Source organism: Homo sapiens, chromosome 16 (assembly GCF_000001405.40).
Source record: "Homo sapiens chromosome 16, GRCh38.p14 Primary Assembly".
In the NCBI taxonomy this organism is placed as follows: Eukaryota; Metazoa; Chordata; class Mammalia; order Primates; family Hominidae; genus Homo; species Homo sapiens.
In genome coordinates, this window is record NC_000016.10 from 81,544,922 (window position 1) to 81,563,454 (window position 18,533).

General features: G+C 51.3%; 1 protein-coding gene across 5 annotated transcripts in view, besides 2 other annotated features; it reads left to right on the forward strand.

The window, feature by feature from the left end:
* CMIP (c-Maf inducing protein) overlaps window positions 1–18,533 on the forward strand; it is a 266,955-nt gene that overhangs the window by 100,114 nt on the left and 148,308 nt on the right. The gene's annotated exons all lie outside the window — the stretch shown is intronic.
* Window positions 7,852–8,458: an enhancer, noted in NCBI's record as "H3K27ac-H3K4me1 hESC enhancer chr16:81586378-81586984 (GRCh37/hg19 assembly coordinates)". NCBI's record gives its function as "activates a minimal SCP1, AML or CMV promoter by ChIP-STARR-seq in naive H9 embryonic stem cells {active_cell/tissue: H9 hESC(naive)}" and the evidence as "EXISTENCE:reporter gene assay evidence [ECO:0000049][PMID:30033119]".
* Window positions 13,923–14,217: a silencer, noted in NCBI's record as "tiled region #2593; HepG2 Repressive DNase matched - State 5:Enh, and K562 Repressive non-DNase unmatched - State 14:Gen5'". NCBI's record gives its function as "represses a minimal TATA promoter and a strong SV40 promoter by Sharpr-MPRA in HepG2 and K562 cells {active_cell/tissue: HepG2 | K562}" and the evidence as "EXISTENCE:reporter gene assay evidence [ECO:0000049][PMID:27701403]".

The window sequence follows — 18,533 nt, forward strand, 5'->3', positions numbered from 1 at the left end:
TCAACCCCTCATTTTTTTGGCAGAGAAGGCTGCCAAATTGGGGCCAGACTCAATCTTTTCATTTTCATCTCCTGCCAGTTCCTTACCAGACACCCTGTGCTCCAGCCACAAACGACCTTTTGCTGTTGCCCAAAAGAGCCCATGATCTTGTAAACTCCTAGACTCCTAGAAGATGCCAGGCCCACAGCCAGGGTTCCCCTTTCCGCTTTCCCTGCTCAGCTCATACTGGTGCGAAACTCTCCCAGGCCTGCCCTCCTCCCTGCAGGGTGCCTTAGCTTCTTCCATCCTTTGAGACAGGCTGACCACAGGTACTGTGGTGTTTGATTTAATGCATTCGTTATCTCAGGATTTGCTGCGCTTCTAGAGAAGTCCTGCAGACGAACCCGTCCTTGTATCACCAGCGCCTAGCATGGTGCCTGGAAGAGGGTGGGTGCTTGATGCTTCTCGCAGTGAAGGAGCAGAAGCTTAGGTTCTGTACTAAGATGATGCTTATATTGTGTAGCTAAAAGGGACCGTGCACACAACAGTGACAACATCAGTAATAACGTTTACTGAGCGTCTCCTGTGTGAAGAGTCCCTGTGCTCAGTGCTCTATGAATGGCATTTAATCCACACAGCTTATGTGGCGAGCTCCAGCATCCTCCTCCATCTACAGATGGAAGCATGAGGCTGGAGAGAAGTGACTTGGTCCAGACCACACAGCACGGGGCGGACCTGCGATGCTCACGGTAAAACTAGGGCAAGTTACTACTTGACTGATCTGCTTCTGTTCTAGAATCCGAACCCTCCTCAGCATTGTTTCCAAATGATGGTGGTTTTCAAGCTCCAAACGCCCAGCTTACCTGGGCATAGAAGCCTTCCTGCCGGCCCTCCCGTGGGCCCCAGGGTCTTTGCACAGGATTTTCCACACACAGTACAAGTCTGGGTCTCGGCTGAATGAGCGAGCACGGGATTCCCACATGCCTGTAAGAGAATTGCTAAATTTGCTTCAAGCGGTGTCACCCCCTCACTGCAGGTAGATCTAGTGAACTCAGGGAGAATCCACCGTGACCTACATCAGAAGGAAGTGGGACGGGGCGGTGGGTGGGGAAAACGCAAATGGCGCTCGCTGTGAATAGCAGTGTTGGAGAACATCACAGCCAGCAGTCGAGGATGAAAGGCATTTGATTTATAATAGACTCTCAAATTCACCCTGGTTCTTACGAGTTATCGTGTCTCCTGAAACCTCGTGGGGGCATCCTGCTGCTGGGGCCAGGAGGCAGGGAATGGCAGCCCAGGGAAATGAGGAATCCCGATCCTTCTCTCTGAGTCAAGAGAAGACAGACTTGCCCTACTTCTCCCATGGTGTCCTGGGAGAGCAGGAAGAAGGCATGGAGAAGGATGCCTTGTTCGCCGGCGGCAGAAGCTCCCTCTCAATGCCAGGCAGGACAGAGCCAGCATGTAGGGCGGCGGTCCCTTTAGCAAGAGGATGAACTGGGCTGGAGGTGCACTCAGAAATCCACCCAGAGGGAGTTTTCCTTTTCATGACAGTTTTCCTGAGGCTTGGTGGGGAAGGAGAAGAGGCTCTCAGTTGCAGGCGGTTCATTCATTCACCCATTAATTCATCTAACTAATAGTTACTGAGGGTCTGTGTCCCAGGAACCGAAGAAAGCACAGGTTACAGCAATGAGCGAACACAGTTGTGTGTCTCCTGCCTGCAGGTAGCTGCGGCCTCGTGGAGAAAATTGAAGTCAGATGATTATCGTGCGGGGTGAGAAAGGAGGGTGAGAACCAAGTGCTGTTCACTCATCATTCATTCATTCTCTTGTTCAGGGGGTGTGGAGCACTGGATGGGAGCTAGACATCCCTCTAGACCTGTGCTGGCTGGAAGAGTAGCCGCTGCCATGTATGGCTATTTACATTGAATTAAAATTAGACCAAAGTAAAAATTCAGCTTGTGAGGCACGTAGCCACACTTCAGTGCTCCGTAGCCACGCGTGGCGAACAGCTCTTGTACTGGAGAGTGCCGATGTAGAACATTCCCTGCATCGCGAGAGCTCCCTGGATGGTGCTGGGCTGCAAAGGCCACTCCCCCGGGAGTGCACAGCCTTGCGGTATTAAAGACCGGCACATATTCTGTGACAGTACAGGGCAGTCTGGGCTGGGATGTGGGCACACAGATGTGGGATGGCCGAGCCATGCCTGGGCTCCCGGAGGCAGGGAGGTTTCAATGGTGTTTAAGTCAAGTGAGGAGGATCTGGGGCAGAGGAGGAGAGGGATAGCATATCTGGTAGAGGGAAGCACATATGTCAAGGCCTGGCCTCCAGAAAGAGAGACGGAAGGGGTTCAGCGCGGCTGGGTCGTAGACCATGTCATGTTTATGTGGCCGAGGGCATGGGGTGTGTGCAGCGAGGGTGACTCTGGAGGGGGACACAGACCAGCTCCTGCAGATGCTCTGCCATCTCTGCAGAAAGACCCCCGCTCCAGGCTCCCTGCTGGCCCTTCCAGTCAGATAGAGGGTCTTTGCAGGCCATCTCTTGCTGTGGGCACGCTGAGCAGAGGGTCCCAAAGCCAGTGACAACCAGTTCAGAGGAGGGCCTGGTTTGCGGGGTCAGGGCTGGACACCTTGCTCAGAGGGGTAGCTGGGCCTTGGAGACAAACTTACCGTTTCAGGCAAAAGCGAGGGTTTGCAGGTGGAGGGTGGGAAGCGGGGGAGGAGGAGGAGGAGGAGGAGGAAGGAAGGGATCTCCTCAGAAGCCTGCAGGGTCCAGATTGAGTGTCCGTTAGTTCAGTGTACCCAAGAAAACACTTCAGGAAATGGCCCCTCTTCCCTTTGGGGAAGTGCAAGATGAAGAAGAATTGGAGAGGCTGGCTCACAGTTGTGGGGCAGTGAGGGGGAATTTGGCAGACACCGAAATTGGACACTGGGACCCTTGGCCTGGGACCAGCTTGTGCCCCAGGGCCAGGTGCTGTGGCAACAAAGGAATGCCCAGGGAGCCAGGCAGGCCTCTTCAGCTCTGCTCTTCCTGTCACCCGAGCAACTCGCAGCCTCTGATCCCAGCCTCCTCTGCAGCACGCCGGCAATCATGTCATGCTGTAAAGCTGTTGGAACAATTTCCAGATCATTACAGCGGCTGGCATTTATCTAGGGCTTACCTTGACCCAAGCATTGTAGTATATACATCATGATTTTTCAGCCTCAGCTCTACTGACATCTAAGGATGGATCACTTTTTTTTTTTTTTTTTTTTTGAGACAGGGTCTCCCTCTGTCCCTCAGGCTAGAGTGCAGTGGTACAATCATGGCGCACTGCAGCCTCGACTTCCTGGGCTCAAGCGATTCTCCTCCCTCAGCCTCCTAAGTAGCTAGGACTACAGGCACAGGCCACCACTCCTGGCTAATTTTTAAAGTTTTTGTAGAGATGGGGTCTCGTTTTGTTGTTCAGGCTGTTCTCGAACTCCTGAGCTGAAGCGGTCCTCTTGTCTCACCTGCCTCCCAAAGTGCTGGGATTACAGTGTGAGGCACCAGCCAGCTGGATCAGTCTTTATTGCGGGCACTGTCCTGGGCATGGTAGGACATTTGGCACCATCCCTGGCCTCCACTCACTAGATGCCCACAGCACCCTTCCACCCCAGTTGTGACAACCAAAAATGTCTCCAGGCCACGTGTGGTGGCATGCACCTGTAATTCCAGTTCCTTGGGAGGCTGAGGTGGGAGGATCACTTGAAGCTAGGAGTTGGAGACCAGCCTCAGCAACATAGGGAGACCATGCCTCTACAAAAAAAAAAAGAAAAAAAAAAGCCAGGCATGGTGGTGTGTGCCTGTAGTCTTAGCTACGTGGGAGGCTGAGGCAGGAGGATTGCTTGAGGCCATGAGTTCAAGGCTGCAGTGAGCTACGATCATGCTGCTGCACTCCAGCCTGGGTGACAGAGCAAGATTCTGTCTCTGAAAAAAACAAAAAGGAAAAAGGAAGCTGTGTCTGGACATTGCCAAATGCCCCCCGTTGGGAACCACTGCTTTACACATTGACTCCTTCATTCTCATAGCAACCCATTTCACACACGAGGATTGACTTGGCACCACAGCTGGACCATTGGTGCTGAGGTTTGAACCCAGGTCTGTCTGCATGGGCCTGTACTCAGTTCCTGGATCTATTTTACTGCAGGCTTAGGTGGAAAGGGCGTGGCCCAAAGCCAGATGTGTAGTAGGTAGTCAGGGAAAGGGGCTTTTCTGATGATTTGTCACTGGCTTATTCAGTCAACAAACCAGACCCTAAGTGCAGGTTGCAGGATGAGGAGGGAGCCGGTCAACCTGCAGGAGCACCTGGGTGACCAGCCTGAGGGTTGATGGAGCCATTTGTATTTCTTAGGCAATGATTAACCTGGTTGAGCTGGTAAATCATTCGATAGAACCTTACCCTGGAAAATGCCGGGCTTGCAAATGGGGGGCCGTTGGTTTCACATCTGCTGTTTCTTCATTGGACTTTGTCACCCATGAGGTCAGGAGCCAGCAGCCGAGGGCCGTTGGGAAATTCTCCTTGGGCAGATAGCTGCCACTTTTCCTTGCTAGCCCTGGAGTGCTGTACGTGCCCCAGGAAACTGTCCCATGTAGGGGATTTTCATGGCTGGGCTCTGTGTGTGTTGGGGGCGGGGGGCGGAGGATATTGAAGAAGCGGCCCTGAGTGAAATGCCAGTGGTCCTGAGAGGCGGGGCTGAGACCTCCTCTTTATTTATTTGTCTTTGGAAATTGTACCATTCATGATGAAATCGCCCCTAAAGGACACAGGCAGCAAGGACTGGCCTTTGCTAGACCTGGTAAGCTGGGCAGACCGAGCCCAGAGCAGGGCCTGGGTGCCCCAGCAGGGCACAGGGTGCTGGCTGGTTCCTCTGAAGGCAACTGCGCGTTCTCTTCCCATGTGGAGAAACCAGGCAAATGTGTGTGTGCATGCGCGCGTGCATATGCCAGTGTGTATGTTTGTACATGTGTATTTGAATGTGTGTGTGCAGTGTGCTGTGTGTACATGCTTGTGCATTTGTGTGTGTGTGTATGTGCACACAAGCCTGTGCCGTCCAAGTGCCCATGTGCATATTTAAATGCGCTCACCCGTGTGCGTGGGCAAATGTGTGCACATCTACATGTGTGTCAGAATTATTGTGCGTGTGCCTATGTGATGTGATTTCACCCCACCCCTATGGCTGTAGGACGAAGGCAGTACACACTGAGCACCCTGCCCATGCCCTCGGTAGCACTCCTTCTTTCCTTACTGTTCCACAGTGGATACAGAGAGACCTGAATTTAATACCCAGCTTTGCCAGTTACTCATTGCATGATCTGAGGCTGGTCATGCAAGCTCTCTGAGCCTCAGTCTTCTCATCCGTGAAATGGGAGAATAAGGAACAGCACTGGTGTGGAGTGGCATTGAAGGTCATGGGTCATAGGTGTGTGTGTGGCTGGGGCCTGCCTTAGGTGGCAGTCAGTGATGGCATGCCCTCCCAGCTTTGGGAAGGTCTGGCCCTGTCCATGGAGGTGCAGGAGGGTCGCAGGGCTTTAGTTGCTTCTTTCTGCTCATGCCCCCCTCCCACTCTTGGCTGGGAAACCTTGGCAGCACTGGGCAGGATGGTGTTGACAGGTCTTATCCCGTCAAAGAATGTCTATGTGGCTTCCACCCTCTGTGCTCTAGGTGTGGCCTGGGGTCACATGGCTGCTATTGCTAGGATAGACCAGGAGGACCCAGTGGAGCTGTTTGTGCTTCTGGAATCTACCTGATCAATTAGAAACTACTAGAAGGCTGAAGTCAGGGGCTTTGGTGACCTTGGCTTTTGCCCACTGGTGACCACAGCACTGTCATTCTGAAGTGATGCCTGGTTACAGCACATAGATTCTCCTTACACCCAGGAGAGGATGAAGAAAGTCCTAACCCCATTCTGTGCCCTCCCCAGTTCCATCACACACACCCCAGTTCCATCACACACACCCCAGTTCCATCACACACACCCCAGTTCCGTCACATGCACCCCAGTTCCGTCACATATATCCCAGTTCCGTCACACACACCCCAGTCCCGTCACACGCACCCCAGTCCCGTCACACGCACCCCAGTCCCGTCACACGCACCCCAGTTCATCACACGCACCCCAGTCCCGTCACACGCACCCCAGTCCCGTCACACGCACCCCAGTCCCGTCACACGCACCCCAGTTCCATCACATATATCCCAGTTCCATCACACGCACCCCAGTTCCATCACACACACCCCAGTTCCATCACATATGTCCCAGTTCTATCACACGTACCCCAGTTCCATCACACGCACCCCAGTTCCATCACACACACCCCAGTTTCATCACACACCCCAGTTCCATCACACACACCCAGAGGGTTCTGAGTAACCATGGGCAACCAAAAGCCAGGAAAATGGGGGGATTTCCTCTGCCTCCCAACTGTTTTCTGATTAGTCACTTCTAGCTAATTAGCAAGTGACAAATGGGACAATAAAGCTGAAAATATCCATTGGCTTCCTGGAATCCCAGCCACAGACATGGCACATGGGACCTGGCTGAGAAGCAGAAAAATGAAAAAACATTTGGGGTCCTGAGGAAGGAAGCACAGAGGACCACGTCGGGCCAGCCATGTCAGTGTGTGGCTGTAGGTGGCTGCAGTGTGTGCCTCAAAGACACACTGGGGCCGTGTGCAGTATGTGGGAGCTGTGGGAACCTGCTCTGTCTTCCGTTTTCTCTCCACACTGTCTGGAAGAAGTGATTTCATCTCACAGTCATTTGGTGACTAAGGCAAACTTCCCCCATCCAAGGTGGAAATTGTCACAGGGCCCTGGGGACATCATAGGGGTCTGTGTCCAAGGTGGCCTCTGCTTCCAGAGGTGGCTGAGGCCCCTGTTGTGGACAGTTCCCCTGGATGCATGTGGGTGACAGCTCCTGCTCCCATAGACAGTTCCCCATGCATCCTCAGATGGGTGAGGCTCTGCTGCTGTGACAAAGACTCCCCGGTCCAGGGACTTGAAACAACTTTGTTCTTGCTCAGTCACCATGGACGCTGTTCCCCACCGGCAGTGTGCAGGGGGGCCCTGGCTGGTGGGGTCCTTCCACCTGGTGACTCTGCAGCCTCGGCGGCAGGGGCAGGGAGGACTGGGGAGCCCAGCGCTGGCAGCTGCATCCTTTGGCTTTAGGAGGGACTTGTGTGACATCCTCTGACATCTGACTGTCCAGGCCCAGTTGTGTAGCGGTGGCCTGGCTGCAAGGGGGCAGGGAGTTGGAATCCTCCCCATACGTGGCAGTGGAAGGAAGCCAGAACTCTGTGCTCATTGGTAGTTGTCTGCCTGTCTCTGACGTCGGCTCACTTGGGCTGATAAGGGCTGGCTGGTGGTTCCCGAGGGTATCCTGTGTGTAGTGGGGATGTTCTTTTCCTGTGGCCTCTGTGACATGTTCCTTCAAACCCAGTGGCTGAAAACCACACAGATCAATCATCTTACAGTCCTGGAGGTCAGAAATCCAAAACAGATCCCCCTGGGCTATGTTAGGTGGGCTATGTTAGGATGTTTTCTCCAGAGGTTCTAGGGGACAGAATCTCTTCCCATGCCTTTTTCAGCTTCTAGAGGCCACCTGCATTCCTTGGCTTCTTGGCCCCTTCCTCCATCTTCAGAGCCACCTGTGTACCATCTCCCAGCCTCTCTCTGACCCTTTGCCTTCCTCTTTCATTGGGACCAACTCGACAATCTGGGAGAATCTCCCATCTCAAGGTCCTTAATGGAACCACATCTGCAACGTCTCTTCTGCCATGTCAGATGGCACATTCCCAGGTTCTGGGGATCAGGGCGAAGACATAGACATCTTTGGAGCTGCTCTTGTGCCTACCACCAGGGGCCATCCTTAGTGGGAGAAGCCAGGCTACCTGCCTTCCTCCCTCCCTCTCTCTTTCTCTGGCTTTGTTCCTTCATTGCTGTGGCTGGGGACAGAGTGCACAAGAGGAATGAGGGCCCTGTCCTCATGGAGCTGCCAGTCCTTTCCAAGGGGAAGACTGACCTTCAGCAGAGACTTCCAGTGCAGGGGGTTTGGGAGTCCCCTCCCTGGGGGACAGGAAAGTCTCCTCTAAAGACGTGACTTGTCAGCTGCTGTCTGGGGATTGAGGAGGAGTTAGGGAGGTGAGGTGGGGATAAATGTTGTGAAGACCAGTTGCTTAGCCACGTGGGTCCCAGCACCCAGGGCCTGAGTCTCTGCTTGTTTCAGTCCCACTGTTTCTCAGTCTTCCCTCGTTTTCTTCCACCCTGACTGTGGCCTGCTCCGTTTCGCAGATTGCTCATCCCCATTCCCGCCCACTGCTTTTCTGGAAGATGAAGGGGCTGGCTTCCTGCGTCCTGGCCTGGGCACTGGAGCAGGCCATGCCCCCAGGAGGCAGGCGGGACCTGGCTGCAGGGATGTGGGAAATAGGACCCAGGACCGTATTTGCAAAAGCAACAAAGTTGAAAGCAGGACTGGGCAGGCTGGGTCGCTGTTTGCACTGGGGGAAGCGCTGGCCTCAGAGGTGCCTTCCTCCTCTCGGGCCAGAAAGGGTGATTGTTTCAGAGTCGTCTGATGAAGAGCATATATTCCAAACAGAGCCCACTGCCTGTCCCGGCGCCAGCTTCGAACAGGGGAGGCAACTGTGACGCCCTGTGGCTCCTTTCACCCGGCAGTGGGGAGGGTGCTCAGGCCAAGGGGAGAGAGAGAGACCTCTAAACACAGCCTGGAGAGGAAGGCTGGGCGTGCTCCGCCAGCTTCACACGCACCTCTCTTGGCCCTGCCAGATGCCATTTGTGTTTTCTCTTTCCCGTGCCCTCGCCCCTTGCCAAAAGCTATAGGCAGCATGGCCAAGATTCCTCTGTGGGGCAGGAAAAAGCAAAGAAGGAGGCATGAGCTTCTAATTAGCAAAGATAGACAAATTGCTGGTGGAGGGACCACCTTCAGCTTTGTGTGCAGACACGTGGCCCCCCTGGCCCTTTTATATTACGTGTCCACATTCTTTGGTGGTCTAACACCCTCCTAGGCACTGGAGCCACCATGCAAGCGTTTCCAGTGGGCTGTGAACAGAAAAGTAATTTTCCACATCAGAATCAAATACTCAACAGGAAGGCGAGGCTGCCCTGTGGTGGGCGGGACTTGGCCCTCTGTACTTTCCATTTAAGGCATTTAGAACAACAATAATTATTAAATAATCATTAAGTTAATTGTCTTCCTTGCCAAACTCATTGAGGGCGGATACCCAATAATACAATCAGTGCCTGATAAATGTATGTTGAGGGGAGTCTACCTTTCCATGAGAACTGAGTTTTATCTCTGAATTAACAAATGCCAGATGTGCAATTAGCATTCAGAGAAAATGCTCTCCTCTTCAAAAGGCACTTTAACCTGTTATTCTCTATCTGAGCTCATTTAATGCAAGGAGAAGCTAAGGAGCAGAAAGATTCAGAGAAATATCCTGCTTCAGAGAGTTGGGCAGGAGATTCCTGTAGCATCCGTTCTGCTACTTCTCAGAACTGTGTGCCCTGGCAGACATCAATAATCAATCACCACTCTTTCCTGTTGAGCCCAGAGGCAGCTGCAGAACCGTTCACAACACACCTCCAGGAGGCCACTACCAGGTGCTTGAGAAGTTTGCAGAATCCCAGACTGGCAAATATGGGTGTATAATCGAATTCATGTTTACCTCCAGATTTCTACTTTCTGGCTCAGAGCTGTCCTTTCACTTTCTCATTTTCTTCATTCACCGCTGTCAGCAGGTGCCTTTTTTCCTGCAGCCACTTCTCTGGCTGTGTGACCCTGGGCAGGCAACTTTATTCTTCTCTGGGCCTCAGTTCTTTGTCTGTAGAATGGAGATAATCGTTATATCTGGTAAGACTCTGTGGGACCCAACGAAAGCATAGAGTGCTTAGCATCGTGTCTGCTAGGAACTAACAGGCCCTGAAGAGATGATGGCAACTTTAAAATATATTTGTTTTCACTTTAATCTTCAGCAAATTGAAGCCCTGGCCGCAGGTGTCATTGGGCTGGAAGCTCCTAGGGATGCCCCCCAGAAGGGGGGGTTTTTCCTTGGTCCCTGGTAAGTCTGCCTCGACACACCCCTACAGTGGGAGGGGCACCAGCTGTCACCTTGGTGCCTCCTCTGTGCCATCAGTCTTCCCAGCCACAGGGAACTTTCCCACACACGCAAGGCCTCATCTCGGGTCTGCAGAATCCAACAAAGAGCAGGAGGGCAAAGAAAGCCTGTCATCTCCTCTCTTGCAGAAATCCACAAGCAGCATTTCCGATGTTGTCATTGTTATAATAAGCAGCAGGCCTCATCCAGGGAGGGGAAACGTGATGGTGTGGTGCTGAGATAGATACCTCCAGTTGCTTTTCCCCTGAGTGGGTCACCATAGCTCTGGGGAAATCAAGAACCCCCCCTAGACTGTGGGAGTCCCCAAGTGACATCAGGCACAGCAGAAAGCCAGAGAGGAATCCGGACCCATGGGCAAAACAGACAGAAGAATTCATGCTCTCAGCAGGGAATGGGGACAGTGAAAGCACACCTGCCCAGGTAACACACCCTACAGGATGCACACAGACTCAGTGTGCACAACAAAAGGGTCTAAGGCCTCATTCCCAGCTCAGCACATACACTGTCCGCTCCCTGTCCAAGAGGGCCTTGCCATTTGGGCATTTGGGGCCCGGAGAGATCTGAGATGACCCCATTTCCCTAGGCGGCCTGGCAGTGATGTGACCAAGTCTGTGAAGTCACCATCTTCATGGGTCCCCACCAGGGTATACTGTGCTCCCCAAAGCTAAATCAGGAAGGAGAAACGTCCCCACCTAAGCCTGGGGAGATCTCCAGCATAGATGAAACCCCTCCGGGCTGGTTATTGCCATTGGAGTGTGTCTGGTCTGCCCTGGTTGGGGGAGACTGATTCCTGCCAAGTGATTTTTCTCCCTGAACCTCAGTGTCCTCATCTCTAAAATGGATCCATAATAATACCCACCCCTGGGAGAGCTGTGAGCATGAGAGCTAGGGGTAAACCTTGGTATACAGGAAGTGTGCAATTAATAGGAGCTCCATTGTGACTGTTACTTTTCTTAGAATTTGAGTCCAGTCCTGGCCAAACAGAATCACCGTCTTCTCTGTCTGAAGCCATTTTTTCCCTGGAAAATGCAGACCCAGCGGTGAGCTATTTGTTCTCTCAGAGTTTCTGAGTCCTGGGAACTGAGGCCAGAGATCTCAGGAGTAGAACAGTCCACTTACCTGGCTGCACGTCATCTCATTTTGCTGTTACGGAACCTGTTCTAGCCCGGGTGGGGTGGAAGGCAGATGTTGGACTGGTTATTATGGGGGAATGCCTTCTGCTGCAGAAGGAGGTGGCGGCGGGCACTAGGTTGCTTCCACCTTTTGGCTACTTAGAGTAATGCTTCTCTGAACACGGGTGCGCTGGTGTCCCTTTTAAAAGTCCCTATTTTTAATTCTTCTGCATATATAGCTAGGAGTAAAATTGATGGATCACATAGTAACTTGGCTGCACCCTTTTATATTCGCGCCAACAATGCGTGAAGGTTGTGATTTCTCCACAATGTGCCAACGATTACTATTTTCCGTTGTTTTATCAGTGGCCCTCCTAATGGGCATGAGGCAGTGTCTCCAGAGACAGAAGGTGGAATCCTGGTAACCACAGGTAGAAGGAAGGGGAGCCGGGAGTTGGTGTTCGATGGGGACAGAGTTTGAGTTTGGGAAGATGAGAAAGCTCTGGAGGCCGACAGTGGCGATGGTTGCACAGCAGTGTGGATGGACCAAATGCCACTGAACCGTACACTTAAATGGTTAAAATGGCTAAATTGGACATCACTTATACACACAATTGTACATCACGTGTACACACACAAAAGCAGGTGTCACATAGGAGACACCCAGTTTAAGGGACATTCTGTACGGTGCCTGAATGGCGCTCCTGAAAACTGTGCAGGTCCTCAAGGCTGAGGAAAGCGTAAACTGTCCCAGACCAGGGAGGCCAAGGAGGCGCGATGACTCAATGTCATGTGGTGCCCTGGATGGGATCCAGGGACGGGAAAAGGACACTTGGGAAAAACTGGTGAAGTTCACGCAAAGTGTCCGGGTTAGTTCAGCATCAGAGACCAATGATGGTTTCTTGCTTGTGACGAAAATGTTCCATGGTCTGAAAGGTGTCAACACCAAGGGAAGCTGGGTGAGAGGGCTACCAGAATCCTCTCTACTGTCTTTTCAGCTTTTCGGTAAATCCAAAAGTACTTTCAAATGAAAAGTTTAATTTAAAAATGAGAAGCCACCTCCCCCACGAGATCATGAAGCTCCATGAAGGCCAAGGCCATGTCAATGCCAAATGCATGTTGGTTGAATTCACTCGTGTTGGTTGAATTTACTGATGTTGGTTGAATTTACTGATGTTGGTTGAATTTACTGATGTTGGTTGAATTCACTCATGTTGGTTGAATTCACTTATTACTGTGTACTTACCATCTTGTTGGCAGCCTCTTCGTTCTTTTTTTCTAATTGACAAACAATAGTTGTATGTATTACATATTTATGGAGTATAATGTGATAATTTAATATATGTTTATAATGTGGAATAATTGATTAAATCATGCTAACAAATCCAAAAATAAAATAAAAATAAATAAAAATGGGAGGACTAGGCAGCACAGTGAGACCTCGTTTCTACAGAAAAAATGTTTTTAATTAGCCAGGCATGGTGGTGCACATCTGTGGTCCCCGCTACTCAGGAGGCCAAGGTGGGAGGATCGCCTAGTTCAAGGCTACAATGAGCTATGATGTTGCTACTCCACTCCAGCCTGGTTGACAGATCAAGAACCTGTCTCAAAAAACAAGACAATTGTGGTGAAATACACATAACATCAAATTCACCAAATCGGAGGTGTTTTTAACATACAGTTCGGTGGCATTAAGTACATTCCCATTGTGCAACCATCACTACCCTCCATCTTCAGAACTCTTTTCATCTTATCAGACAGAGACTCTGTCCCTGTTAAACACTAACTCCCCATTCCCCTCCCCGAGCCCCTGACACCTACCATTCTATGCTCTGTCTCTACGAATTTGACTGCTCTAAGTACTTCTTGTAAATGCAGTCACGCAATATTTATCCTTTGTGGTTGGCTTATTTCACTAGGCGTCATGTTCTTAAGATTCTTTCATATTGTAGCATGTGTCAGAATTTCTTTCTCTTTTATGGCAATATTCCATTGTCTGTGTATGCTGCACCATGCTTCTCCATCCGTCCGTCCATCAGAGGACACGAGGTTGCTTCCACCTCTCGGCCGTTAGAGATAGTGCTGCGGTGAATGCAGGCCGTGCTTCTCCATCCCTCCATCAGCAGACACGAGGCTGCTTCCGCCTCTCGGCCGTTACAGATAGTGCTGCAGTGAACGTAGGTTTACAGGTATCACACACAGACCAAGCTTCCCATTCTTTTGGGTCTGTACCTGGAAATGGAACGTCTGGATGATACAGCTCTTCTCCGGTTAAGTTTTTGGGGACCTGCCAGATTATTTTCCATAGTGGCTGCCACATTTTACATTTCCACTAACAGCATGTAGAGACCAGGGATACTGCTCAGTGCCCTGCCACACACAGGACACCGCAGAGATGACCTAGCCCCAAATGTCAACAGTGCCCAGGTGGAGACAGCCTGGCTTGGAGTGAGCAAGGGGCAGAAGGAAAGACAGGAGGCGTGGGGAGGAGGCAGGCCAGCCAGGCAGGCTGCTGGGAAAGTTGTCCTGAGCACATCTTGGAATGAACACAGCTGCGGCAGCTGTGAGTATTTGCTGCTTGGCACCCCAGGAAGCTTTTCTTGGATTGTCTCATTTCAGTCCCCAATGCCAGGAGCTTGGCATAAAATGTGTTGAGAGTGGCTGCGCACAGTAGGCCCACTGTTCCTCCCGCCTGCAGCCATCCTGACTTTGTTCCCTTCAGCGTCACCTCCCCAACCCCGCCACCAGGTACTTTGTCCTTTGAAAGCAAGGTGCAAACACTGGCAGGCGAGCCCAGTAGATAAGATGTCTGAGTAAACACCCAGCCCTCTCCTTGTGGGATCCGCATTACCCCGTGTTTGTGAATGATCGGGGTTACCTGGCAACCAGGCCTGGGCGCCCCTCCTGCCGCCCAGAGCCACCAGGACTTCCTTCTTCTGTGTGCGGCTTCCAGCTTGTTGGCCTCCACAGGCCGGGCATGCTGGGCAGAAGAAGAGGGTGGCGCTTTTTGTTTTTATTTAAAAGGGAACACCAAGCCTGGCTGAGCAAACCAGACAGTTTGATATCAGACCCCGAACATGGCCTAGGTGGGCTTGGGGTAAGAGTGACCCCCAAGAGTGGGGTGAAGGTGAACATTTATTATGACACCAGCATCAGTGGTCACTTATTTCATGCTGGGCCAGCCTCATGATTCTTTTGTGCCTCTTTATTGAAAGCCTCTTGTGTTTCTGGAGCTGTTCTAGGTGCAGGAGATAGAGCAACGACCACAGTAGTTAAAATCTGTTTTCATATTCCTAAGTTCAGGTAAGGACAGAGAAGATAAACATGTAAACAGATAACAGCCATGCACTGCATAGTGACGTGGTCGGTGTGTGATGGTGGTCCCATAAGATCATAATGGAGCTGAAAAATTCCTGTCACCTACTCATGCCATAGCTGTAGAGATGTCATAGTGCAATGCATTGCTCAGGTGTTGGTGGTGGTGCTGGTGTAAACCTCTCGCACTGCCAGTCGTGCAAAAGCACAGCACCTACAGTATGCACAGTGCATAAGACTTGATGGTAAACAACTAAGTTACTGGCTTGTGCATTCGCTCTACTGTACATTTTATTGTTATTTTGTGGTATACTCCTTCTAGTTATAAAAAAATGAGCCATAAAACAGCCTCAGGCAAGTCTTTCAAGAGGTATACAGAGAAAGGCATTGTGGGGCTGGGCGTGGTGGCTCATGCCTGTAATCCCAGCACTTTGGGAGGCTGAGGCAGGTAGATCATCTGAGGTCAGGAGTTCGAGACCAGCCCGGCCAACGTGTTGAATCGCCATGTCTACCAAAAATACAAAAATTAGCGGGGCATAGTGGTGTGCACCTGTAATCCCAGCTACTCAGGAGCCTGAGGAAGGAGAATCGCTTCAACTGGGGAGGCAGAGGTTGCAGGGGCCCTGTCTGCGTCACTGCACTCCAGCCTGGGCGACAGAGCGAGACTCTGTCTTAAAAAAAAAAAAAAAGAAAAAGAAAAAAAGTTGTGTGTTTTTTTGGTTTTGTTTTGTTTTGTTTTTGTTTTGTTTTGTTTTTTTTTTTTTGAGACAGAGTCTCGCTCCGTCGCCCAGGCTGGAGTGCAGTGGCGCAATCTCGGCTCGCTGCAAGCTCCGCCTCCCGGGTTCACGCCATTCTCCTGCCTCAGCCTCCCCAGTAGCTGGGACTACAGGCTCCCGCCACTATTCCTGGCTCATTTTTTGTATTTTTCATAGAGATGGGGTTTCACCGTGTTAGCCAGGATGGTCTTGATCTCCTGACCTCGTGATCCGCCCGCCTCGGCCTCCCAAAGTGCTGGGATTACAGGCGTGAGCCACTGCGCCCAGCCAGAAAAACAATTTTTTACAAATGTAGTGTAGCCTAAGTGTACAGTGTTTATGAAGTCTGCAGTAGTGTACGGCAATGTCTCAGGCCTTCACATTCACTCACCGCTCACTCACTCACCCACCCAGAACAGCTTCCAGTCCTGTAAGCTCCATTCATGGTAAATGCTCTGTACAGGTAAATCGTTTTTATCATTTATGCCATATTTTCACTGTACCTTTTCTGTGTTTAAATATGTTTAGGTACACAAATATTTACCACTGTGCTACAGCTACCTACAGTATTCAGGACAATAACATTCTGTACAGGTTTGTAGCCCAGCCATAGGTGTGTAGTAGGCCGTATACCATGTAGGTTTGTGTAAATACACTCTATGATGTTCACACAATGGCATAATCGCTGAAAATGCAATTTCTCAGAACCTATCCCCATTGTTAAGAGATGCATGACTTTTTTTTCTTTTTGGAGACAGTCTCCGTCACCCAGGCTGGAGTGCCGTGGTGCAATCTTGCTTCACTGCAATCTTCACCTCCTGGGTTCAAGCAATTCTCATGCCTCAGCCTCCTAAGTAGCTGGGATTACAGGCACATGCCACCACGCTTGGCTACTTTTTGTAGTTTTTATAGAGACAGGGTTTCACCATGTTGACCAGGCTGGTCTTGAACTCCTGACCTCAAGTGATTCACTCGCCTTGGCTTCCCAAAGTGCTGGGATTGCAGGCGTGAGTCAGTGTGCCTGGCCATGACTATAGATCACCTAATATTTTAGGTGATCATAGATGCTTTAGAGAAAGAGGGCAGAGGGATCTGAGGTGCAAAGGACTTAGGGTGTCCTTTCCTGGGTTCAGGGACAACATTGAACAGAGCTGTGAATCAAGGGACCCAGCTATGCAGACACTTAGCAGATGTGTGGTGGAGGGAAGGGTAGGGTGGAGGTAGGCACAGTATGTGCAGAGGGCCCTGCAGCAGGAGTGAGGCTGGTCAGGTTTAAGAACTACCAGGAAGCCAGTGGGGGCTACTATAGAGTGAGGGGGAAGAGGGTGGCAGGGGCTGGGGTATGAAAGGTAGGACCAGCAATTACAGAGGGCCTCGCAGACAATTGCCCCGGCCTTGAGTTTTCTGCGGAGTGGAGAGCTTTGGAAGGTTTTGAGCAGAGGGAGGATAAAATCTGACTCTGGCTTTAAAAAGCATCCCTCAGCTGCTGTATGGACAGTATTCTAAACCTCCAGTCTAGTAGCCACTGGGCATGTGTAGCCATTGGAATTTAAATTAATTGAAGCAATAAAGTTGAAAATTCAGTTCCTCAGTTTCAGTAGGTACATTTCAGATGCTCAGTAGCCAGCCCAGATACAGAACATTTCCACCATCCCAGACTTCTTCTTGGATGATGTGGTCTAAATCCAGGCAAGTATGGGAGTTGGGATACCTGCTGGGGGCTGTTGTAGTAATCCAGTTGAGAGAGAAGGCTGATAAATACCTCGGGCAGAGGACATGACAGTGGTCGGACTCAGGATCTATCTGCTGGTAAAGAGGGCAGGACACACTCGTGGGTTAGATGTAAATGTGCAAGGAAGGGAAGTGAGGGTTCCATGGTTGTTGGACAGAGCCATTGGAAGGCCAGAAAGGTCATTTATGAGATGAGGATGCAGCCAACCGTTGTAAGTTACATTGAGTGAGCTGTGGTCTGTGCCAAGTACTGAGCCAAACTCGGATCTCCTGGGACCCTCAGCCCCCATTGTGCAGCAGAACACACTGAGGCTCCGCAGAGGTCCATGCCTGCCCAGGCTTACCCAGCTCATGGTCCAAGGAGCCAGGATTCAAATCTGGGTCTTCTTAGTCCTGACAAGGGGGCCCTGTTTACAAGGAATGCCTCATCAGCATTCTCTCATCCCAGAAACCACTGGCAAGGTGCTGGACCCTTCTGCCCTCAAGCAAATCCATTTGGGGCTAACTTGCAGTGCTGGCAGTGTTGGCAGATGCCCAGCTGCGGGCCTCTTGGACCAGGGTGATGATCCCTGGGCTGGGGCCCATGAGAGTAGGACATGTGGCAAAGGATGGCTGCCAGGGTGTCCTCTCCTTTGCTTCCTAGCCACGCCCACGCCCATGCCTGGCGGATGGCCCCAGATGGGTGCATTACACATTTCTCCTGGGGACCTTCTCCATCCCATGCTGGGTGGTTCACTCATCTGTCCAGTGCCAGATGGCACAGAGCCAGCACCGAAGGGCTCCAAGTTCATATCACATACCCATCCAGTGAGGGACGTAAATATTTTTTTTCATTTTTCAAATGTGGAAACTGAAGCTCAGAAGGGTACACTTACTTGCTCAAAGTCACACAGCAGCCAAGTAGGAGAGGCAGGATTTGAACTCAGGGCTTTTGGAATCCAAAGCCCTTGCCCTTGTCTGCTGGGATCTGCCGCGTCCTCGAGCTGAGTAGGATGCAGAACTGCTGAGCAGAGCTTTCTGCCGAGGGTTACACAGTTTTGATTTTAGACCTCATCATGGTGTGGGGTCCAGTGGGCAGGAATCTCACGTGCCCTGGCAAGGCGCTGACCCGCCAGAGGAAAAACCATCTTGTTTTGCACAAAGCCTCCCCCAGCTGGCTGGCCATGGCTGCTATCATCTGCCAAGAGGGGGCTTTGTCTTCCAGTTCTTGAAAAGGTGTCTACAGGCGAGCCACAACCTGGCTGGCACCTGATGGCAGACACAGAGGAACAGTGAGAATACAGCAAAGCCTCAAGCTTGCCTTGAGAGGGTCATCTTGGCTTGGGGATCATGGGCTCATACCTTGGAGCCAGAAGTCCTGAGTTCAAATCCCAGCTCTGCCTCTTTCTGTTTTGTGGACTCCAGGCAAGTCACAAACTCTGCGCGCTGCTGCGGTTTCCTTCCTGGTAAAATGGGAATGATGATAATAGCAATACTTCTTTCCATCCAAGGTGCGG